This window comes from Homo sapiens, chromosome 20 (assembly GCF_000001405.40).
Source record: "Homo sapiens chromosome 20, GRCh38.p14 Primary Assembly".
In the NCBI taxonomy this organism is placed as follows: Eukaryota; Metazoa; Chordata; class Mammalia; order Primates; family Hominidae; genus Homo; species Homo sapiens.
Genome location: NC_000020.11, coordinates 53,389,342 through 53,413,811, shown reverse-complemented (window position 1 = coordinate 53,413,811; position 24,470 = coordinate 53,389,342). Strand labels below are relative to the sequence as shown.

General features: G+C 43.4%; 1 protein-coding gene and 1 long non-coding RNA gene across 11 annotated transcripts in view, besides 2 other annotated features; one reads left to right on the top strand and one right to left on the bottom strand.

The window, feature by feature from the left end:
- Positions 1–24,470, bottom strand: part of TSHZ2 (teashirt zinc finger homeobox 2) — a 522,973-nt gene that overhangs the window by 81,519 nt on the left and 416,984 nt on the right. The gene's annotated exons all lie outside the window — the stretch shown is intronic.
- Positions 572–621: a silencer, noted in NCBI's record as "silent region_13047". NCBI's record gives its function as "represses an Ori minimal core promoter by ATAC-STARR-seq in GM12878 lymphoblastoid cells {active_cell/tissue: GM12878}" and the evidence as "EXISTENCE:reporter gene assay evidence [ECO:0000049][PMID:35858748]".
- Positions 5,567–5,861: a silencer, noted in NCBI's record as "tiled region #11508; HepG2 Repressive DNase matched - State 13:Ctcf, and K562 Repressive non-DNase unmatched - State 13:Ctcf". NCBI's record gives its function as "represses a minimal TATA promoter and a strong SV40 promoter by Sharpr-MPRA in HepG2 and K562 cells {active_cell/tissue: HepG2 | K562}" and the evidence as "EXISTENCE:reporter gene assay evidence [ECO:0000049][PMID:27701403]".
- LOC105372670 (uncharacterized) lies at positions 12,493–16,144 on the top strand. The gene is made up of 2 exons (XR_007067659.1): positions 12,493–12,679; positions 13,325–16,144. It is a non-coding gene; the product is annotated as an uncharacterized LOC105372670 (long non-coding RNA).

Genomic DNA, 24,470 nt, shown 5'->3' with positions numbered 1-24,470 from the left:
TACTATAGACACTTGGTATTTCCACTAAGTAATAACTCTTGCAATTGCTCTGTATCAGCATAGAAGAATTTCCTTCATTAGTTTGAAAGGCTGCACTGGGTCTCCTGGCATAGAAAACTAAAATGTGCTTATGCAATTCCAATGGATGGAAAATACTTCACAATGGAGTAGTCCTTGCTATGTGTCAAACATTCTCTAAGTGCTTTACCCATATTAACTCGTGTCATCTCCTACCCACCATATGAAATAGATACTTCAGTAGTCCCATTTATCAGATGGGGAAACTGAGCCAGGGAAGTGAAGCGACTTCCCCGACATCACACAACTTGCAAGTGGTAGAACTAAGATTCAAAGCTAGTAGCTCACGTGATCTCCCGCTGGCCCCGCAAAGTGCTGGGATTCAGGCGTGCACCACCGCACCTGGCCACACTGCAGGATTTCTAAGTCCAGCACCTGCATCCTTTGTCTGGGGACTTTCTCTGGCAGCCAGCGCCCACTGGCGGAGACATCTGCAGCAAAGTGACTGAAAGTGAAATCCCTCCACCTGGCCTCCTTCCCCCTCACTTCCGCGCCTTGCCACGGTCAGCCACCGATCAGCGGGAGTTGGTTTGTAAACACCCCAGCTCTCTCTGAGGACTATGTTCTACATCTGCTCCCAGAACTCTAAAGGATCAAGGGCCAGTTACCCACGATGACATCGTGCATGATCAGCTGCTCTTCCCCTCCCTGTCCCTCTTCCGCTCTCCCCTATTGGGGGTTCCTGGGATCAGGAATCCTTGTTTTAGAGGAGGCTTCTGGGGGAACCTGAGCCAAGACAAACCCGAGTATTGTTGGGACAGGAATACCGGGGGTGGGTTAAGAAGATGTCGAGGCCTGCCAGGGAGCCAGAGAGCCCTGGTCCCTAGCTCCAACCTGAGGACTGGGATCGGAGGTCTTTCCAGAAACAGAAGGCTTCTAGCTGCTCCCATGGGTTTCAGGAGGAATCCGCTTGCTTGGATCAGCTGACCTCTGACAGTTTGTTTAGGGAAGGAGTGGGGAGTGATTGTTACAGGCCCTGCAGGGGAGAGAGCCTGTGGGTGGTGGTGCTGAGGCGTGTTTAATGAGGCTGTCCCTTAGTCAGGGGCTGAAGGTGGACCCTTGACATTTGGAAGCAGCGTGGAGAGTCACTGTGCACCCCCTGAGAGACGGAGGCCTCTGCCCGGAGCAGGGAACTTCATAAGTGGCGGCCCAGAGGGAACCGTCCACAGAACCCGTGAGTGCCCAGAAATCAAGAGTTAGCTTGTTTCCCTGGAGATGGATGGTGGTGATGGTTGTGGAACAGTTTGTATTCACTTAAAGCCACAGAACTGTACACTTAAAAATGGTTAAAAGCGTAAATTTTATCCTATGTGTAATTTACCACAATAAAAACAAAACCAACAATGGGTCAGCTTTGATCATTCTCCTGGAGCACACAGGCTGGGAACCAGTAGCCTTGCTCCAGGGCTGGGACCTTTCTTGTCCCATTCCCTTTTCTAACTATCCTGAAGCTATTGTCAGCAGGCTGGGGAGGAGACCAGAGGAGCAGCCATAGAGAAGAATCGAGCCCTTCTCCAATTTCCCACTGGGTGCCTCCAGCCCAGAGCAGGACCGGACGTGTTAACCTGACTTTTCTGACTCTGAATTGGATCTGTGAACTGAGTCTTAATGGGACCATGGGCTCGTCCCTGCTAAGAGTGAGCAGAAAAGTCATGAGTTGCCTGAAGTCTTATTCAAGGGAGGGGAATGTTTATTCCCTCTGAACAGAATTGAAAGAAAGAAAGAAAGAAAATGATGCTTTGATCACCCTTCAGGCAACATGCCTATTCAACATGTATGCATGTTTTAACATTTATTTAATGCTCATTATGTGTGGGACTCTTTGTTAAATGTTCTTGCTTGAATAGGCTAATTTAATTCCATCTATGAGATAGGTACTCTTTTTTTTATTTTATTTTATTTTTTGAGGCAGGGTCTTGCTCTGTCATCCTGGCTTAAGTGCAGTAGCTTGAACAGAGCTCACTGCAGCCTTGACTTCCTAGGCTGAAGATATCCTCTTGCCTCAGCCTCCCATGCAGCTGGGATTACATGCACGTGCCAACCTACCTGTCCAATTTTTAAGTTTTTTATAGAGACGAGGTCTCACTATGTTGCCCAGGTTGGTCTCAAACTCCTGGCCTTGAGCAGTCCTCCCAATTTAGCCTCTCGAAGTGCTGGGATTACAGATGTGAGCCATCATCCTCAGCCTTAGGTACTCTTAAGTTACTTTTTTTAAGGTGAGGAAACAGGTTCAGAGAGCTTATGTTAAGTGTCCTAGGGGCTCACAGTAGGAGTTGGGATTTGAGGCCAGGTCTGTCAGATTCTAAAGCTCTGCTCTTAACCACTGTTTCCTAATTGCCCCAGGCCAAGACATGGAGCTCACTTGGAGACCCAGAGTCCGCAGGCTGCCCTTAGATTTTAGGGAAGTGCTCACAGTTTTCTCCCTTTACATAAGTTCATGCCAAGTCTGGGATGAGTTGAGACTGGAGGCCCCTGGGACTCCACATCATGTCAGGAAGGTTGAGGGAGGCCAAGGCCATGGTCCTAGCTGTAGAAAAACTTCAGGTCAAACGTAGCCTCCACTCACTCTTCTGTGACATGAAGGCCCCACTTCCCGTCTTATAGAAGAAGATACCCCCAAAATGCTGAACATGGTTCACAGTTATGAACAGGAAAGTGTTTCATAAGTGGCATTTGCACTAATATTTGACTTGAAGGAGCAGGATCCAGGGAACATTGAATTACAGCTCATATTAAAGTGCTTTAAAAATGGTACCAATGGCCGGGCATGGTGGCTCATGCCTGTTATCCCAGCATTTTGGGAGGCCAAGGCAGGTGGATCACATGAGGTCAAAAGTTCTAGACCAGCCTGGCCAAAATGGTGAAACACCATCTCTACTAAAATACAAAAGTTACCCAGGCGTCCTGGTGCATGCCTGTAATCCCAGCTACTCAAAAGGCTGAGGCAGGAGAATCACTGGAACTTGGGAGGCAGAGGCTGCAGTGAGCCTAGATAGTTCCACTGCACTCCAACCTGGGTGACAGAGCGAGACTCCGTGCCAAAAAAAAAAAAAAGGTGCTTATGATCAATACCATGGATTTTACATTTTCATAAATATAACACAGCTAATAATAATAATAATAATAATAATAATAATAATAATAATGTGACGATAATAACAGAATTCCCAAACTTCTTCTTAGGTTGTTATGTATGCCAAGCCCAGAGAGTTATGTGTTTTGTAAGTTGATTTAATTCAAATGCTATGCCTCCTCCTCCACCGATTTTGTTATCGTACTGAGACCTTTTTCATAACTTACAGGTGCCTTGGCATAACTTACAGGTGCCTTGATTTGCTCTGTTTTTTCTTACATCAGTAACTTTTAAGTGAATTCTGCTCAGGGATGTGCCTGGAGAAAGCAAGTTTGATGAGGAAGCTGGTGGAGCTGGTGGTTTGAAGGCTGAGTGAAAGTAGGGGAGAGCCCATGGCCTGATCTATGTAAGTGGTAAGTCAGGGAGGGTAGCTGCGGTCAGCATGTCCCAGAGTCACCTTCATCCTGGGATGCGCCCTCTGATTCTCAGAGTGAACATTAAAAATGGCAGACAAAACCAGGCACGGTGGCTTACGCCTGTAATCCTAGCACTTTGGGAGGCCGAGGTGGGTGGATCACCTGAGGTCAGGAGTTCAAGACCAGCCTGGCCAACATGGTGAAACCCTGTCTCTACTAAAAATACAAAAATTAGCCAGGTGTGGTAGCATGCACCTGTAATCCCAGGTACTCAAGAGGCTGAGACAGAATAATCTCTTGAACCCAAGAGGCAGAGTTTGCAGTGAGCCGAGATAGCGCCACTGCACTCCAGTCTGGGCGACGGAACAAGACTCCGTCTCAAAAAAAAAAAAAAAAAAAAAAAAAAAAAAGAAAAGAAAACAAAGATGTGAATTCTGAAGACCTTTTTCAAGGCTTTGTCCCCAGCTCTGCAAGGCCCAGATGCTAAATGACATTCACTGGGCTGTCAAAGTTTCTATTTTCTCAATCAACAATGGACTTCCATTCTCGACTCCAAAAGCAAAGCGTTCATCTCATCTTCATGAAAGAATTCCATGAAAGAAAGCCAATATGAACAGAGTGTCACATACCAATATTTCTTTTATCAAACAACATCCTGAAAACAAGGACTACATCAATTTTTTTAATATTCAAGCTGATTAGAAAGTTGGTTCTGTATTTGATTAAGTTCTGCAGAAATTGGGCTTGTGATGAATCATTAAACAAAGACACTTTTTTTTTTTGGTACAGCAATAAAGCCTCAAATGATTAATTAAGGGCACAATGCCAAAACAAGTGTCTTTGTTTAAAACACAGTGGACAAGACAGCCTTGGGAAAGTTGATGTCTTAAGTAGGCGCCACAACATGTTTTTAATTATGTTCAGGAAGACGAACAAGAATAGGAATCGCCAACTGTTTAGAAAGATAATTTTTTTTTTCTGAAGAAAGATTAGAATTAAAAAAAACAAACAGAGCATTATTGATTTAACATAAATGCCATTTGTTGGGCCTTTTGTAATTTCCTTATTAGTGTCATCATTCTGGAGTTCACATCCCCCCTTCTGTTATAGCGTTTGGCATTTGTTCAGCTCTCAGCAATATGATACAGTAAACATGCAGTGACTGCTCATATTAAAATGTTTTATTTGTTGTAAGTGTACAGATGATCAAACAGTGCACGTCCTAAATTATCCCAATCATTGCCCAGGCTAATCAGAAGAGAGGGAATCAGTGACCGTCTCTACGAGAAGAATAGGCTGGCCTAGGGTGCAGGGCTAAGCTGTCAGTTGGAAAAGAAACAACAGCAGAAAAGTTCATGCAACATCAGTTCTCCATTGCACCATCGTGAGATCACCCCACTGCTCAGTTGAAACAGACATCAGCCAGCTAGGATGATATACAGAGTGAAAGATACGTTTGGAAGCAGCTTAACTTTGGGTTGTATCAGGCAGTCAGGTTCCATTCGGATCAAAGTGTCCGATCTCAATATTAACAGTAATGACAGGTTGGGCTTTAAACAAGGCCAGCTCTTAATTGTAAAATGCTGAAGACGAATAGGAGCCCAACGGTTTGGCCCCTTTCCTCCCAACTGTCAGGAAATGGCCTCAACTCATTTGGAAATCGATGGATTTCCACTGCAGAGTGGGGACAATGGGCTCTGTATTTCAAGAAGTCACTTAGACATATCACTCTTATGTACACATAGCTCCCTGTCTTCCTCCTTCTTGCCTATCCTACTAGGTTTTGAGAAATGGCTAATTATTCATTTTGCTAGTAAGTAATGATTTTATCTTATCAAATGCATTAACGATATTAGAGACTGGCTTGAGAACCACACAAAAGATGCTGTGTCTTTCATATGTTCCTGGGTTGCTTTTCTCCACTAATGTGGTTTGAGTACCTGCTTGGTACTGGACTCTGTGTCGAACGCTGGGGACATCAGGATGAAGAAGGAGGACCCTTCCTCAAAGGGCTCAGACTCCAAACTTGGAGAACGGAAAGGGATAGCATTTCTGTGGAAGGACAGGCATTCTGGAGACTGGCCACCTGGCGGATTCAGGGGGAGTCCAGACACAGCCGGACACCAGCTCTGCTTTCTCCCCAGAATGCTGAGACCTCGTGATGCTGAGATTGATTCAGTAACTCAGAGGGTCTCATGTTTGTTAACAACCCCTTAAATCAGGGTGGCAAACTGTGACCCACAGGCCAAATGCATCCTGTGGCCTGTTTTTGTAAAGTCTGCAAGCTAAGAATTGTTTTTACATTTTTAAATGGTTGGAAAAAATTAAAGAATAGTATTTCATGATATGTGAGAATTACATGAAAGCCAGATTTCAGTGTCCAGAAGTAAAGTGGTATTGGAATGCAGTCACACCCATGTGTATCACATGGCACTGCTTTTGTGCTGTATAATGAGTTTGTTCTGCACCATAGTGAAAAAGCAGAAATGGGCAACCTGCATGTGAAGGCCATGGTTGTGTTCTAATAAGACCTTTTCACTGGTTGTAGTTTGCCAACCCCTGCCTTAAACCAAAGTCCATAGATGTATGGCAAGAATTCCCTTACTTTCTCATCTCAGCCTGACTTTATATGTGGAGAGAGAGTAAACATAGGTAACCATGGACAGGAAGAAGCTGTGCAAACTTAGGTGGCTTCTGATCCTCTTCATTTCCACGAGATTCCATGGAAATGAATCTCTGGGCTCAATAAGTGGGGAACTTCTAGGCACATGCCTGTCCATAACCCATTTGCAAGGTGATAATTGCATTCAAAAGAATTTCTCTTAGTGAGGGCACTGAGTGTTTTAAGGAGAAATACCATATTGAGCCACTTGTGATAGGAATGAGGAGGTGAAACTCTAAGGGGCAAAAATGACCACTGTGTCACCTTTTCACAGAAGAGCATTGTTTTGCTGAGTATGCTGGAGGGCTTGGTGGGTGGATTGGGGGCCAAGCTGAATTGCTCTGCATTGCAGCAGAAAGCAGGACTAGATATTGTGGAAACAAGAGAAATCAAGAAGAAAGGAATTCAAGAAGAAAGCTGGAGGTCACATGCAGCGGGGAAGAGAAAAGAAATCTTTAGGATTTTTCTAGAGAAATGTGGGAGAGGCTTCGTCAGGGGTCACTGTACACATGATGTTACCCCCACTGCTGTGTTTCCCTGGTGAACATTTTCTGACATCCCCATTGCTCATTGGTGCTTTAGTGAGAGACCCTGAAGTGGGGCTGAGTTTGGGGTTGGCATCAAAGGAAAACAGAGGCAAAATGTAGGGATTAGGAAGACGTGGGACCAGTTGACATTTGGGTTGCATTTTGATGTCACCTCATTCAGGACTATGCAGATATCATGCCTTCCATGTGGCCTTCCCTGAGCCTGGAATCTAAAGTACCTGTCTCTCCCTCCTTCCCTGTTCTTCCCAATCCCCACGCCATGTTTTAGTTTTTGCCAATACACCTTTCATCGCCTGACTTGCTCTTCTGTCATTATTTGGGACCCATAAGAAGAAGATGTTGCCTGCTTTGCTCACTTCTACATTCTCAAAGCTTAAAACAATGCCTGGCACATGGTAGATATGATATATTTGTTCAAGAAATGGTCAGGAGGAATTGGGGGTTCCTGCAAGCTGCCACATGCCTGTTTAGTGGCCCTTGCTTGTCCACCTGCCATACCAGGGACTCTACCTGTGTCCTGGCACAGGTAGGTCAAGCTGAGGTTAAGCTGGTTCCTTTGCTCACCCAGATGGCACCAACAGCCTCCTAAATGTCTGATGTTCTACCCCTGCCTCTCCAAATCCAGCCTCTACACCCAGAATATCCTTTTCAAAATGTAATTTGAATAATGTCACCTCCTGGCTTAAAACCTTCTAGCTGCTTTCTGTCATTCTTAGAGCAAAATCTGTAAGCTTTTGGCAGCCCGGAGAGTCTACATAGATGGTGCCATCTTTTTACCGCCATCTTTGTGATCCTGCTCCCTTTGATCTAGACACATCCACCTGCTCTTTTTCTTCCAAAACATCAGCTCTCTCCCTCTTATAACCTTGATAGTTGGTGGTTCTGTGCCCCCTGATCCTCTCTTGCTCTTTCACACTACTTAGGTCTCAGCTCAAAAGTTAGATACCTCAGAGATGCCTTCATCATCTACCCTGTCTAGAATCATCCACCTCACCACTATTTATTTTCTTTTTTTTAAAAAAAAGTATTTATTTTTTTGAGACAGGGTCTTGCTCTGTCACCCAGGCTGGAGTGCAGTGGTGCAATATAGGCTCATTGCAACCTCTGCCCCCTGGGCTCAAGTGATCCTCCCACCTCAGCCTCCAGAGTAGCTGGGACCACAGGCACACACCATGACGCCTGGCTAATTTTCTGTATCTTTGATACAGACAGGGTCTCGCCATGTTGCCCAGGCTGGTCTTGAATTCCTGAGCTCAAGCAATCCACCCACCTTGGCCTCCTGAAATGCTGGCATTACTGGCATAAGCCACCATACCTGGCCACTATTTCTTTTTATCACCTTGTTCTGCTATCTTTTCCTCTTGTCTCTCATCACTAGCTGCAATTATCTTATTTATTCTTCTGTTTACTAGTTTATGGTCTGTTCTCTTTCCCTAGAATGTTGGCACCTTGGCAACAATGACCTTGACCAGGACTAAAATAGTACCTAGGACTAAAAAAGTACCTAGCTGTTATAAGCACTCAATAAATATTTGCCAAATGAATGAGTGATTTGATCTATGTATGCAGAACTTCCTGACAGCAAAGGAGTTCGTTTTCTACCTACCTTCAAGTGCTGACTTCCTCAAATAATATATGTCAGTCCCCGGTGGTTCTGCCCACACAATCCTAATAGATCATCATAGGACAGCACACGCCTGTAAGATTACTTCCCAGTTCTTAGATACTACTTCAAGTTACAACAAGTTTCCAAAATTAAGTATGATGCAACTTTGTTTTTTTTTTTGAGACAGAGTCTTGCTCTGCTGCCCAGGCTGGAGTGCCATGGTGCAATCTCAGCTCACTGCAACCTCCACCTCCTGGGTTCAAGTGATTCTCCTGCCCCAGCCTCCTGAGTAGCTGAGACTATAGGTACGCGCAACCACAGCTGGCTAATTTTTGTATTTTTGTAGAGACAGGTTTTCGCCCTGGTGGCCAGGCTGGTTTCGAACTTCTGGCCTCAGGTGATCCACCCACATCGGCCTCCCAAAATGCTAGATTACAGGGATGAACTGCCATGCCCGGCCAACTTTAAGTTTTAAATTGGATGTCGAAGAGTGCGTGGAAGAACAGAAGCAGTCAGATAATAGAATTGTCTACAAAATAATTGTTTAAGTCTTTTAAACAAAGGTGTTCCCCTTCTTTGATCCTGCCATCAGTGATCAATGCAGGTGTAGTGATTACAGACTCTAACCCTTCATTGAATTAGCATGTAAGGGGAAGTCTTGGACTTGGATGATTATAGGATATTTCGTTAATAAACCTTATCTGATCCTTTTCCGCTAATAATTGTATGTAATTATATTTATGTGTGAGAACGTTGCATATTAATAGAGACTAGGGCCCTGAGGATTTAAAGAGCTTAGGAAGCATTTGACTGGATACGACCAATCATTACATGTCATGCAAAGTACATGGGGAGATAGGAATTTGTCAAAAAGAAACCAGAGAGTAGGAGAAACCCAACGCTTTCATTAACTGATAATATTTTTATTAGGTTGTTACTTTCAAGTGTCTTTTAGTACTTGCACTTGAATTTAAATGTCTGAAAAGGAATGGGTATTCAGGAAAAGAAAAGTAATTACACCCTGTAATTCTGATTTAATTACAAGGAAATAGATGTAACATGATGTGATAAAAGTTATGATGGGCTTTTTAAATGATATATGTCATTAACATGTTAATTGGCATGAAATCTGAACTCGGAGCCAGAGAAATCTTAGGTGAATATAAGGTCAACTCCATTACAGGCAGTTTTATAATGAAAATTCCATAAAAGCATTTTAAATTTTACTCTGCAATGCACGTTTTCCCATTTATGTTCAATACAATGAAATTTTAGTCCTGCTGTTTTAAAAAAAGAAAAAGAAAAGGCCATCCTTGAAATGTTGAGGTGGTTAGCTCGAACTTGTAATTGACTAGACACAAAGTCAGGGCCAGGTCATATTCTAGAAATCCATTTCTCTCAACATCTTAGCATAATGATGAAATAAAATGCATGAAGATTTTGATTATTAAAAGACTGCTTTTTCCTCAAAGACTCATCCCAGGATCTGTTTATTTTATTTAATTATAACGTTTTGGCTCACGGCTGTGGTTAGTAATCAAAAGTGTAAAGAATGCATCCATTCAGCAGAAGGAAGAAGCCAAACTGTGCCAGAAGAGGGGAAGATGCCCAGAGCCTACGAGCCGCAGACCTTCAGCTGGAAATACTGAAGACTCGCACCTGAATACGGGGCTAGTTTGACAAATCCACTATTGATATGCTTCAGTATAAAAGCACCAGCACATTCTCTCATTCGACAGCTCTCAGAGATGGAAGCGTTTCTGTGTGTGAGCAGCCACATTGGCACCCCTTTCTCATGGCATGTGTACCGCACACACACTCAGGGTGGCCTCCATCAGCAGAGCCATCCGTGAACATGAAGGAGGACACAGACCAGATGTGGATGCTGCACACAGAGTTCTCTACTCCTCACTTCTTGGTGGACATTTATCTTAGTTTAATTCAAATTATTTAAAAAGAGAATGGATTCCAGGGTATCTACATTTGGTAATAATCTAAAAAGAAAGAGACTTGGGGAACCCGCAGAAGAGAGAAACTTCAGGTAAAGTGGACATCAGGAGTTGATTTTTTGTTGTAATCTGGGTTAATTTCATTTATTTATGGAGCCTCAATCTAAAAGTGATTTGAGGTAGTTGTTTTTAAATTTCAGCTTTTATTTTACACCATGGAATACTATGCAGCCATAAAAAGGAATGAAATCTTGTCCATTGCAGCAACATGGATGGAACTGGAGGCCATCATCCTAAGCGAATTAATGAAGGAATGGAAAACCAAATCCTACATGTTCTCATAACTAGGAGCTAAACACTGAGCATGTACGGTGGTAACATGGGAATGACAGACACTGGGAACTACTGGAGAGCGGGAGGGAAGGGAGCGTGGGTTGACAAACTACCTGTTGGGTACTGCGTCCACTACCTTGGTCCAATATACCCAGGTAACAATCCTACACATGTACCCCGTGTATCTGAAATAAAAGCTGAAATTTGGGAGTTGATGTTTTTGAGGCAGCCCTGGGAGCTGAACAGTGTGGTGGGTAGGAGAACAGGCTGCAGAATCAAAGTTCGGTTTGATGTGGCTGAGTGCAACCCTCCTTTCTGACTCACTCACTTCCTCCACCCCACTTGGGGCAGAAGCACCTTCCTGATGTTTCCCCAACTTGTTTGTGCCCCGGGGACTCTGCACACAAGCATCCCACTGCCTGGCATGTGTTTCCTCCACCTCCCTCCACTCATTCAGGTCAGGCATCGAATGTCACTTTCTCAGGCTGATCTCTTTGGTTACCCCATTGAAACTAACACATCCTTCCCCTCAGTGCCTTCTTTTGCCTCTTTCTGCTGCTTTTTTTCATAGAAATGATCTCTAAACCATGGGGATACATTTTGAGAAATGCATCCTTAGGTGATTTCATTATTTTGAGAACATCAGGGAGCATACTACACAAACCTAGATGGCATAGCCTCCTACACACCTAGGCTGCATGGTATATCCTGTGGCTCCTAGGCTACAAGTATGTACAACATGGGCCTGTACTGAGTACCATACACAACTGCAACACCCATGGTGAGTATTTGTGTATCTAGATACATCTAAACATAGAAAAGACTTATGCTGCCAGTGGGAATGTAAACTAGTACAACCATTATGGAAAACAGTGTAGAGATTCATTAAGGAACTAAAAGTAGATCTACCATTTGATCCAGCACTCCCACTACAGGGGAAAAGAAGTCATTATATGAAAAAGACACTTGCACACTCATGTTTATAGCAGCACAATTCGCAATTGCAAAAATATAGACCAGCCCAAATGTCCATCAACCAAGTGGATAAAGAAAATGTGGTATATGGCTGGGCACGGTGGCTCACGCCTGTAATCCCGGCACTTTGAGAGGCCAAGGCGGGCAGATCACGAGGTCAGGAGATCGAGACCATCCTGGTTAACACGATGAAACCCCATCTGTACTAAAAAATACAAAAAATTAGCCAGGCATGGTGGCGGGTGCCTGTAGTCCCAGCTACTTGGGAGGCTGAGGCAGGAGAATGGCGTGAACCCGGGAGGCGGAACTTGCAGTGAGCCAAGATCACACCACTGCACTCCAGCCTCGGCAACAGAGCAAGACTCTGTCTGAAGAAAAAAAAAAAAAAAAAAAAAAAGAAAATGTGTTGTATATATACCATGGAATACTACTCAGCCATAAAAAGGAATGAAATGATGGCATTCACAGAAACCTGTGAATTGGAGACCATTATTCTAAGTGAAGTAACTCAGGAATGGAAAACCACACATCGTATGTTCTCACTTATAAGTGGGAGCTAAGCTATGAGGACACAACAGCATAAGAACAACATAATGGACTTTGGGGACTCGGGGGGGAGGGGTTGGAAGGAGTGAGGGGTAAGGAACCACACATTGTGTATAGTGTACACTGCTCAGGTGATGGGTACACCAAAATCTCAGAAATCACCACTAAAGAACTTACCCATGTAACCAAACACCACCTGTTCCCCCAAAACCTATTGAAATAAAAAACAAAATAATAAAAAAGAAAGTATAATTAAAAACATAGAAAAGGTACAGTAAAAATATAGAATTACAATCTTATGGGACCACTGTCCTATGTGCAGCCTATTGTTGATTGAAATGTCACTACTGGACACATGACTGTGTTGTCTAATTTGTATATTTGTTCCTAGCCTGTGTCTCCCCTCCAGAGTGTAGGTCCCTGAGGGCAGTCACCTGATCTGTCTCAGTCACTGCAGTGTCCCCAAACAGAGCACCGCCTCAGGCACACAGAGGTAAGCATGCATCGATCACACCAACGATGCAGGAATGTCCTGACACACCAGGCAGCTGCTGTGTGTTCTCGGGCTGGTTACTTAACTTGCAGGAGCCTCAGGAGCCTCATTGGTCAAATGGGAATAAAAGTTCTACATGATTGAATGCATGAAACCCTCTTAACATAATGCTTAGGACATGTTAGCTTAAACATGAGAGATGTTTGTTAGAATACCAAGGCAACATAGGTGGGATCTGAATTCTTGAGTCTGTGTGAGGGGAGATAACGGAGGTGGATGATACAGGTCTGGGAGAGCACCCTCCTCTGTTTTGCTCCGTCCTGGACTTCCCGATGCCCAAGTTACACAACACATCTGTACCCTGGGGAGGGATTGAGATGAACTCATTAGATGCACAGAGGTCATCCCTTAACTGTGCCCAGCTGAGAGTATTCATTAGGGTGAGGGCAGGCTTTTCCATTAGAGGAAGCCATTGAAGGTGAGGCAGTAGAGAGTACAATCAAGAAAGCGGACTCCGGGATCAAATGGGTGCTGAGTGCAAATCCCAATTCCTACTGCTTACTGGCTTGAGAGAGTAACTTCGCCTTATGGGCCTCAGTTTTCTCATCTGTAAAATGAAGTTAAAAAGCACATTCTTCCTCATAGGGCAGTGGTGAGGACTAAAGGAGGCGATGAGAAGAGAGTCCCCACAAGGAGTCTGGCACAGAGGAAGTTTCGACGTATGCTGTCCATTGCAACTTCGACTTATGCTGCGTTTCTGTGTCGGAACAGTGGAAGACATTCAACAAGCACTTTGTCTCAGAGGCTTAGTTACAATTAATTGAGCCTGAAAGACCATAGACTTGAAAAAGCCCTCAAAGTGATAAAGGTAAAAAGAAAAATAAAATGACATCTAGCAGGCACTGAGGGCTCTACAACGTGTGGCTAGCCTGTATTCAGCACCCTACAGTGTGCAGCCAGGCTGTGCTCAGCATCCTACAGTGTGCAGCCAGGCTGTGCTCAGTACTCTACAGTGAGTAGCCAGCCTGTGCTCAGCACTCCGCAGTGAGTGGCCAGCCTGTGCTCAGCACTCTACAGTATGTGGCCAAACTGTGCTCAGCACTCCACAGTGAGTGGCCAGCCTGTGGTCAGGACTCTACAGTGAGTGGCCAGTCTATACTCTGCACTCTACAGTGAGTGGCCAGCCTGTACACAGCACTCCACAGTCGTCATCTTTTCATCATAAATCTAATGGCCACTTAATGAGGTAGACCTGTCCCATGACTTGAACTGATTTCAAAAACTCAAAACTCATACTCTCTTGCATTTGGCAACCAAAACACAACCCACTTCCTGGGACCTTCTGACAGCCAGGCCACGTTGAGCAAACACCGAGCCCTCTTCAGAGTTGGTCAGCAGCCAGGTCAGCAGCGACTGGCAAGGCGACTGCTTGCCAGGTCTCCTCCAGCATGAGCTTGGGATGGAGCTGAATCCCTTTCATGCACAAGCAGAATTTGAAAAGGTGCGGGGCCACACTAGTACCTCTGCGTCTCCTGCCAGAGCCCACCAGCTTATTTTGCTTCTTCAGAGTCTGTAAAGCATCCTTCTGGATGACGAATGCCTTCCGAGGCTCCAGCCCACCAAGCCTTCCTCTAAGTTTCAGATGCAGAGGCCACCTCGGAGAACTGTGATTGTCTCCCTGCATCTCCCCAGTGCCCCCGGATGAGTGCCACCCTCCTCACCTGCTATCACAAAGACAAGAAAGGCCATTCATAATTTAAGTCAGCCCTTTCTTTCCTGCACGCCACCAACATGAGTCAGATGCTGGAGGAAAAATTGAACTCTTTCTCCCAGGATACACCAAAGATCAAGCAGAATCTCATTAAGGCTCACTTCAAAGACTCGTCCTTTATTTCCATACAAACAAGTTTAAATTATCGTGTGTGAATCTGCTGTTAGCAGGGACTCTGTTCCATTATGCATGATTCCTTACTGTTCATATCATGAATAATGGGCAGTGCTCCGTTAGCGATTTCCAGTAATATGCTAAACTTTGGGAGTGGTCATGGTGTTAGGTTAAAGTTCTGGTGTTTGCCTATTTTATTTCTTACTCAAGCTATAATGGCCTGCTTCATCAAAATAGGTTTCACAGTCTTATTGTAATGAACACAGCATAACACATGTTGTGGCTATGATTTCCTTATTATTATTATTGAATATTTATTGAGCACTTACTATGTGTAAGGGATGGTGCTCAGTGTATGCATTGCATGCATAATATTTAATCTTCCGGAATCCCATGAAATAGCTATGATGATTATTCCCATTTTACTGGTGAAAAAAACTGATAATTTGAGCAGGATCTAAATTATCCACAGATAAAACTTTTTTGTGTGTTTTTGAGACAGGGTCTCACTTTGTGACCCAGGCTGGAGTGCAGTGGTGCAATTATGGCTCACTGCAGCCTTGACTTTCCAGGCTCAAGCGATCCTCCCACCTCAGCCTCCTGAGTAGCTGGGACTACAGGCATGCACCATCACACTGGCTAATGTTTTAAACAATTTTTGTAGAGATGGTGTCTTGCTATTTTGCCCAAGCTGGTCTGGAACTCCTGGGCTCAAGCAATCTGCCCACTTCAGCCTCCCAAGATGATGGGAGTACAGGCATGAGCCACCGTGCCTGGCCTGATAGAACTGTTAATAAATGGTAATGCTGATTCAAATCAGTTGGTCTGACTTCAGATACTCCTAATTATAAAATACTTTTTACAACGCTATTACTTGCTGAAGAGCTTTGGCAGATAATCGATGATTTGGTAAGCAGGTATTTGGATGTCCAGTGCACATTTCTCATGTCCAGATGAGAAATGAATGCTCAGGGGATTGCTTGATACCTGGGAGTGAGAAAATCCTTGTTCAAGTACTGGTTTTGACTTCACTTAATCTTGGGCAAGTCATCCAGTCTTCCTGGATGTGCTGAGGTGGTTGCATTATTGCCTTTGTAATTTTTTTTCTTCATTTTTTTATTATACTTTAAGTTCTAGGGTACATGTGCACAACGTGCAGGTTTGTTACATATGTATATATGTGTCATGTTGGTGTGCTGCACCCATTAACTCATCATTTTCATAAGGTATATCTCCTAATGCTATCCCTTCCCCCTCCCCCCACTCCATGACAGGCCCCTCTGTGTGATGTTCCCCATCCTGTGTCTAAGTGTTCTCATTGTGCAATTCCCACCTATGAGCGAGAGAGAACATGCGGTGTTTGGTTTTCTGTCCTTGCGATAGTTTGCTCAGAATGATGGTTTCCAGCTTCATCCATGTCCCTACAAAGGACATGAACTCATCCTTTTTTATGGCTACGTAGTATTCCATGGTGTATATGTGCCAAATTTTCTTAATCCAGTCTATCATTGGTAGACATTTGGATTGGTTCCAAGTCTTTGCTATTGTGAATAGTGCCGCAATAAACATACATGTGCATATGTCTTTATAGCAGCATGATTTATAATCCTTTGGGTATATACCCAGTAATGGGATGGCTGGGTCAAATGGTATTTCTAGTTCTAGATCCTTGAGGAATTGCCACACTGTCTTCCACAATGGTTGAACTAGTTTACAGTCCCACCAACAGTGTAAAAGTGTTCCTATTTCTCCACATCCTCTCCAGCACCTGTTGTTTCTTGACATTTTAATGATCACCATTCTAACTGGTGTGAGATGGTATCTCATTGTGGTTTTGATTTGCATTTCTCTGATGGCCAGTGATGATGAGCATTTTTTCATGTGTCTGTTGGCTGCATAAATGTCTTCTTTTGAGAAGTGTCTGTTCATATCCTTCGCCCACTTGTTGATGGGGTTGTTTGATTTTTTCTTGTAAATTTGTTTAAGTTCTTTGTAGATTCTGGATATTAGCCCTCTGTCAGATGGGTAGATTGCAGAAATTTTCTCCCATTCTGTAGGTTGCCTGTTCACTCTGATGATAGTTTCTTTTGCTGTGCAGAAGCTCTTTAGTTTAATTAGATCCCATTTGTCAATTTTGGCTTTTGTTGCCATTGCTTTTGGTGTTTTAGACATGAAGTCCTTGCCCGTGCCTATGTCCTAAATGGTATTGCCTAGGTTTTCTTCTAGGGTTTTTATGGTTTTAGGTCTAACATTTAAGTCTTTAATCCATCTTGAATTAATTTTTGTATAAGGTGTAAGGAAGGGATCCAGTTTCAGCTTTCTACATGTTTGCCTTGGTAATTTTTAGAGATTTGGGGCAGGATTTTCTCAGCATTCTCTCTCTGTTTTTTTTTTTTTTTTCAGGGTATTGCTGTGTCACTCAGACTGGATGGAGTGCAGTGGCGCCATCTTGGCTCACTGTAGCCTTCAACTTCCTAGGCTCAAGTGATCCGCTCACCTCAGCTTCCCGAGTAGCTGGGACTACAGGCATGAGCCACTATACCTGGCTGATTTTTGTATTTTTTGTAGAGATGGGGTTTTGCCATGTTGCCCAGGCTGGTCTTGAACTCCTGAGCTCAAGTGATCCACCTGCCTCGGCTTCCTAGAATACTGGGATTACAGGCACGAGCCACCCATACCTGGTCTCTCTCTCTTTTTTAACTGATGGGATTGCAAGGAGAATATGCATTCTCTTTTGATTGGTGTCTCTGGAGGTTCCTTGGAGAGATAGTACCTGTATGCTGACTGTTTCATTTTTTGATGGTGTGACCTTGGACAAGTTACTTAACTTCCTCCACTTCAGTTTCTTCATCTGTACAATGGGAATAAGTGCCTGCCTCTTTCAGGGTCATTGTCAGGAATAAACTACATGGTATATGTCAACAGCTTAGAATAGCAGCTGGTGCATCAGAACCACGATACGTACATGTGAGCTGGATATTTTGTATTATTCTCATTAAAACCCTTAAAATGGCCGGGCACAGTGGCTCACGCCTGTAATCCCAGCACTCTGGGAGGCCAAGGCGGGTGGATCACGAGGTCAGGAGATAGAGACTATCCTGGCTAACATGGTGAAACCCCATCTGTACTAAAAAAATACAAAAAATTAGCCAGGCGTGGTGGCAGGCGCCTGTATTCCCAGCTACTCGGGAGGCTGAGGCAGGAGAATGCGGTGGACCTGGGAAGAGGAGCCTGCAGTGAGCCGAGATCGCGCCACTGCACTCCAGCCTGGGCAACAGAGCGAGACTCCATCTCAAACAAACAAACAAACAAACAAACACGCTTAAAACTTTCCAATGTGTGTCTATCTCATTACCCCAAGGTCATGTTGCATGCTATTGGAACATCTTCCCTTTAGCTCCCTCTTCTTTTAACATTCCATAGGTTGACCAGTGAAGTCATCGTTTATTTCAATGTTCCTTCCTATTCCCACAATCCAGGACAATAATTAGTCAATGGCACGTCTGCACGGTCATGTTCATGACTTCATGAAAGATGTTAAGATGGTTTGAAAAAAGTTGATTACAAGTCCTGTCTCTTGGACCAATTTCAGATTATTGAAAAACATTTGGAAGGGAAGTTTGAATTGGCCACAGCTTTTATTTCTAACCTCTTGAATTAGCTGATGTCAAATCCAGCTCCATTGTCAAGACAGGAAATGGTGTGGTCCTCTGGAAAATGTCTTAATAATTTTTGCATTATTTATTGAAGATATTTGGCTAGCTCAATGGAGAATGATTTTTCCATTTGGACATGTGTCACAGAATGTCCCAGACAGGAAATAAACGTAGGAAACCTCAGTTTAGAGACTGATGCAGGCTCCTTGAACACACCCAACCCTTTCCTGCACAGAATCTTTCTCCTGCTGGTACTGCCATCTCAACTTCCTTCTTCTTTGCTTACTCATCGTCTCTAATTCCATAGGTCCAGGTTCCATTAATTCTTCAAGATCCATCTAAAAGTCACATTTTTCTTACTCCAGAAACTGCTTCTCCAGGACAATCTATTTTTATTGTGCTGGACACTCTTTGAAGTGCTTTCTCAGACATTATTTCATTGATCTGGTGGGTTGTGCTCTGTCCTTATTCTTTTTATCATTTCACCTTTGATTTCACATGACTGAATTCTACTTTCCTCCACTTTAAAGCTCCTCTACCTTCCCCGCATGCTGAAGAGAACTTGGCTTGACTAGCGCAGCTTCTAGGCTTTGTTGTTTAAATCCAAGAAAGAGCAGAGACATGGGAAGGCAAGAAGGAGGTGAGTGGGAAGTGGCAAAGAGGAACAGAGCCAGTGGAGGCTGCATGTGGAGGGGACTTTGGATCTTTTTTTTTTTTTTTTTTTTTTTTTTTGGTGAGTTCTGGGGGACAGGTGGGATTTCATGAGTGGAGCTTTGAGAGAATCAGATAGGTAAAGGCAATTGAAGAACAGTTTTTTTTTTTTTTTTTTTGAGACAGATTGATTAGTGATGTTTGCTTTGAATGCAAGAGGTGGGGCTGGTAAGTGAACATGTGTGTTTGTCATTGCTATATAAATAAGGCCAGGAAAAGGAGATTAAGGCCCAGGCAACTGTTAAAAGCACATGGCAAGCAAGTGGGAAAAGGCAGGCTCTAATCAATTGCCTTTTGACCTAAACCACATTCCTGAAGAGCAGGACTGGATGGGTCTAGTTCATTATCACATCTCCAACATCCAGAACAGTAACTGCACATGGCAGATATTTAGCAGATATTTGGTGAGTTAGTGACTTGAGTTTTTGCAAGGAGAGTTGTAACTGTAGCAACCTTAAGCCAGTTTTCTTAATTTATAGACAACTTATTTTCAGTTTTAATAGTACACATAAAAATAATAAAACTGATAAGCACATGTAAACACTTGAGTAATTATTGTTTTCTTTGAGACAGTCACTTGTTCCTGCTTTGCCTTATTCCAAACCTCAACTGGGGACATCGGTTCATGGGATTCTATGTTCTGTTCTGACATCCTTGTCCATTGACCACCTTTTACATACATCTAAAGAATGAGATAGCAGGTCTATCCTTAAACCTCAGAGGTCACATTCCTTATTGAGGGAATATAAATCCCATTAAACACAGGACAACTTTTGAGGCAGGATCAGCAACCGTTAAAAAGTCCTGAACATTCAGTGACATGGCTTTTCTTTTTCTTCTTATTTTCTGATTGACCTGGAGAAGAGCAACCAGTCACTCTGTCAGTTTTTCCTTTTATAAATAATAACAAACCATTCCTAACTTTTCCTACCTCACCTGAATAGATGAGATGCAAATTATGGAAGTCGTTAGAATTTTTAAAAAAGTTTTACTGTACTTTAAAAACTCTTTCATTTGAAATAATCATAGATTCACAGGAAGCTGTAAAAATAGTAGAGTCCTATGTAACCTCCCAGTTTCTCCCCGTGGAGACGTCAATCTTAAATAGCTGGAGTACAATATCAAAGCCGGGATACCGACATTGGTACAATACTGTTAACTAGACTACAGACCTTAGTTTTTACAATTTGTGTGTGTGTGTGTGTGTGTGTGTGTTTGCGTGTGTAGTTCTATGCAACTTTGTCCCTTGCATAGATTTATGTAATCACCACCGAAACTAAGATACAGACTGCTTGGAACAAACAGAATAATGATATTAACAGGTACAATGTGTTTGGTACCTACTATGTTACAAACACTCTGCTGGCTGTTTTATGTGCATTACTTCATTTAATCTTCCCATCAATCTGGAAAGTCAGATGCTACATGTGTTTTACAAAGAAGTGAGCTGAAGCTCAGACAGCTTAAGTCACCTTGCACTGGTCACCTGCTTAGCCAGAGAACTGCAAAGCTAAATCTGTTGGATGCCAACACTTGCCCTCTTTTAATAATTTTATGTTGGTGGGTAGAGCTGAAGGTCATTATACTAAGCGGATTAATGCAGGAACAAGGGAACCAAATACTGCATGTTCTCACTTATAAGTGGGAGCTGAACATTGAGTACACATGGACACAAAGAAGGAGACAATAGACATCGAAGCATATTTGAGGGTGGAGGATAGGAGGAGGGTGAAGATTGAAAAACTACCTATTGGGCCAGGTGTGGTGGCTTGCCTGTAATCCCAGCACCTGGGGAGGCAGAGGTGGGTGGATCACTTGAGGCCAGGAGTTTAAGACTAGCCTGGGCAACATGGTGAAACCTCTCTACTAAAAATACAAAAACTATCTGGGCGTGGTGGTGCATGCGGTAATCCCAGCTACTCGGGAGGTTGAGGCAGGGGAATTGCTTGAAATCGGGAGGTGGAGGTTGAATGAGCCCAGATCATGCCGCTGTGCTCCAGCCTGGTTGACAGAGCAAAACTCTGTCTCAAGAAAAAAAAGAAAAACTACTTTTGCATTATTATGCTGATTACCTGGGTGACAAAATTATCTGTACACCAAAACCCAAGACACACAATTTACCCATGTAACAAACCTGCATAGGTACCCCAAAGAAATATAGATGAAGTTTTTTTAAAAAATAAAAAAGAATGAATACAATGCTAAAAAGAATCCATGTTGGAATTAAATTTAAGAAAAGTCACCCCATAGCCTCACCATCCTTAACAATTTGGTATATTTCCTCCTACTCTTTTTCCATGCAATGTGGATTTATACTTAATTGCTACAAAACTGTTGGCACAATTTCTATCTCACTTTTCCTGACTTAATATTACATCTTAAGTACACCATGAAAACCCTTCAGAATGAACACTTTCATTTTTTTTTGTTTGTTTTTGAGACAGAGTCTCGCTCTGTTGCCCAGGCTGGAGTGCAGTGGCACAATCTCAGCTCACTGCAACCTCTGCCTCCCAGGTTCAAGTGATTCTCCTGCCTTAGCCTCCCAAGTAGCTGGGATTACAGGCATGCACCACCACACCCAGGTAATTTTTTGTATTTAGTAGAGATGGGGTTTCACCATGTTGGTCAGGCTGGTCTTGAACTCCCAACTTCAGATGATCCACCTGCCTTGGTGCTGGGATTACAGGTGTTAGCCACTGCACCTGGCCTAGAATGATCACTTTCTAAGACTGCCCAATATTTCATTGCTCCATCACAGAGCAAGATTTCTCTGATGCCCTATCATTGACCAATAAAATTACCTCCATGTCTTTATTATTCTAAGTATTACCACAGTGAACATATTTGTGCAAAAATTTGTATGTGCAAAGCCAAAGATATTCTTAGGACTAGATTCAGAGATGTAAAATTACTAATTCTTTTTTTGTTTGTTTTGTTTTTAAGACAAAGTCTCTCTGTCACCCACGCTGGAGTGCAGTGGCACCATCTTGGCTCACTGCAACCTCTGCCTCCCAGGTTCAAGTAATTCTCGTGCCTCAATATCCCCACTAGCTGGGATCACAGGTGCACACCACCACGTCTGTCTAATTTTTGTATTTTTAGTAGAGACAGGGTTTCGCCATGTTGGCCACACTGTTCTCAAACTCCTGATCTCAGGTGATCCACCCACCTCAGCCTCCCAAAGTGTTGGGATTACAGGCGAGAGCCACTGTGCTCGGCTATTTTGCCATTCTTAATATCATTGCTTAAATATTCAGAAGGAATGTCTTTAAAATAGTACACTGGGCTGGACATGGTGGCTCATGCCTGTAATTCCAGCACTTTAGGAGGCTGAAGTGGAAGGATTGTTTGAGCCCCAGAGTTTGAGGCTGCAGTGAGCTGTGATTGTAAAAAAAAAAAAACAAAAACAAAAAACAAACAAACAAACAAAAAAAACGGCCTGGTGCTGTCGCTCACACCTGTAATCCCAGCACTTTGGGAGGCTGAGGCAGGTGTATCACAAGGTCAGGAGATCAAGACCATCCTGGCTAACACGGTGAAACCCCGTCTCTATTAAAAATACAAAAATTAGCTGGATGTGGTGGCGGGTGCCTGTAGTCCCAGCTACTCGGGAGGCTGAGGCAGGAGAATGGTGTGAACCCAGGAGGCGGAGCTTGCAGTGAGCCGAGATCGTGCCACTGCACTCCAGCCTGGGCGACAGAGCAAGACTCTGTCTCAAACCAAACCAAAACAAAACAAAACAAAACAAAACAAAACAAAACAAAAGTGTAGTATATGCTGTTGATCAGGAGCGGATGAATTAGAACCTCCAGGACAAATCTGGCCCAGCTGCCTGTTTTTGTAAATAAAGATTTATTGGAACACAGTCCCACTCCCTTGTTTATATATTATCTATGGCTGCTTCACATTGCATCAGAGCTGAGTAGTTGCCAAAGAAGCTGTATGGCTAGCAAAGCTAAAAATATTTACTCTCTGGTCCCTTAACAAATTTTGCTGGCCAAATCAAAACCACAATGAGATACTATCTCATGCCAGTTAGAATGTCGATCATTAAAAAGTCAAGAAACAACAGATGCTGGAGAGGATGTGGAGAAATAGGAATGCTTTCACACTGTTGGTGGGAGTGTAAATTAGTTCAACGATTGTTGAAGACAGTGTGGCGATTCCTCAAGGATCTAGAACCAGAAATACCATTTGACCCAGCAATCCCATTACTGGGTCCATTATAATCCCAAAGGATTACAAATCATTCTACTATAAAGACACATGTACATGTATGTTTATTGGAGCACTGCTCACAATAGCAAAGACTTTCTTGCTCTCTTGTGCCAGGGAAGAAGGCACACAGTCGGTGTTTAATAAGTGTTCATTGTTTGTTGTAATAATAGTTGCTGCTGCTAAGCATGGAGATAACAATAAATATGGAGACATTCTTATCCTCTCTTCTTCCTTCCCTGGCTTTCTGTGGCTCTTGGAATATGTCCTAGGTGGATAACTTCCTTTTCACACCACTAGTGTATACAGAAAAGCAGCTCTATTATTTAAATTATCCAAGATCAAGGATGTAAAATGAAGGCTGCCCCTGGCCCTGCGAGACATCCAAATAAATCTCACGGCTTCCAAATGTGACTCTGTCACCCTGGGATTAATACCAAGTAATCCAGTGCCAACATCAAGACAGTGAAAATAAGCATTTACTCTCCCGGAAAATCATTTTATACTGATTACAAGTTGTAGCCTGTCACTAGGATGTGAATTGAAAATGCGCACATTTGCAAGGTTAATATTTCTCCCTAAAGTCGCTCTCTCTGCTGCCTCCCCACCCTATTCCCTGGCTCAAAAGGAACAGGGATTCCAAATAAATATTTGTCCTGAGACATCCTTATTCCAACACACAAAGTTTAAACTTGCTTTGCATTTGCCTCCATGACACCAGAACAGCATGAAAATAAGTGGCCATGGTCTAGACGAAAAGGCTTTTTCAACCTCAGCGCTATTGACATTTCAGGCCGGACAATTCTTTGTTGTCGGGGATAGTCCCAGGCATTGTAAGATATTTAGCAGCTTTCCTGGCCTCTACTCACTAGATGCCAGTAGCACCCCTTCCTTAACTGTGACAACCAACATGTCTCTAGACATTGCCAAATGTCCCCTGGGGGCCAAGTCATCTCCCTGTTGAAAACCACAGGTCTGGAGATCTCAAAGCAAGCGGGTAGGCAACACAATAACATCAACCAGCAGAGCATGGCCACCTGCCTACTGTTGTAACTTCACCTCTGCCACTACTTTTCTTCTAGTCTTTCAACCCAAAGCCAGCCATACTCTGTCACCTCCTCCTAGCATTTGCTAGTCTTGGCCACTCTGCCTGGAATTTCCTCTCCTAATTCATGCATTCTGGAAAATCACCACCTCAATGAAGTCTTCCATGACCATCCCTCTTTCAGGCCTAATGTGGACTTAGACACAATTTCCTCTGAACATATATCACCCTTTCAACAAGCAATAGAGACACAATCGTGTAGGAGTTGAGCTTCGAGTC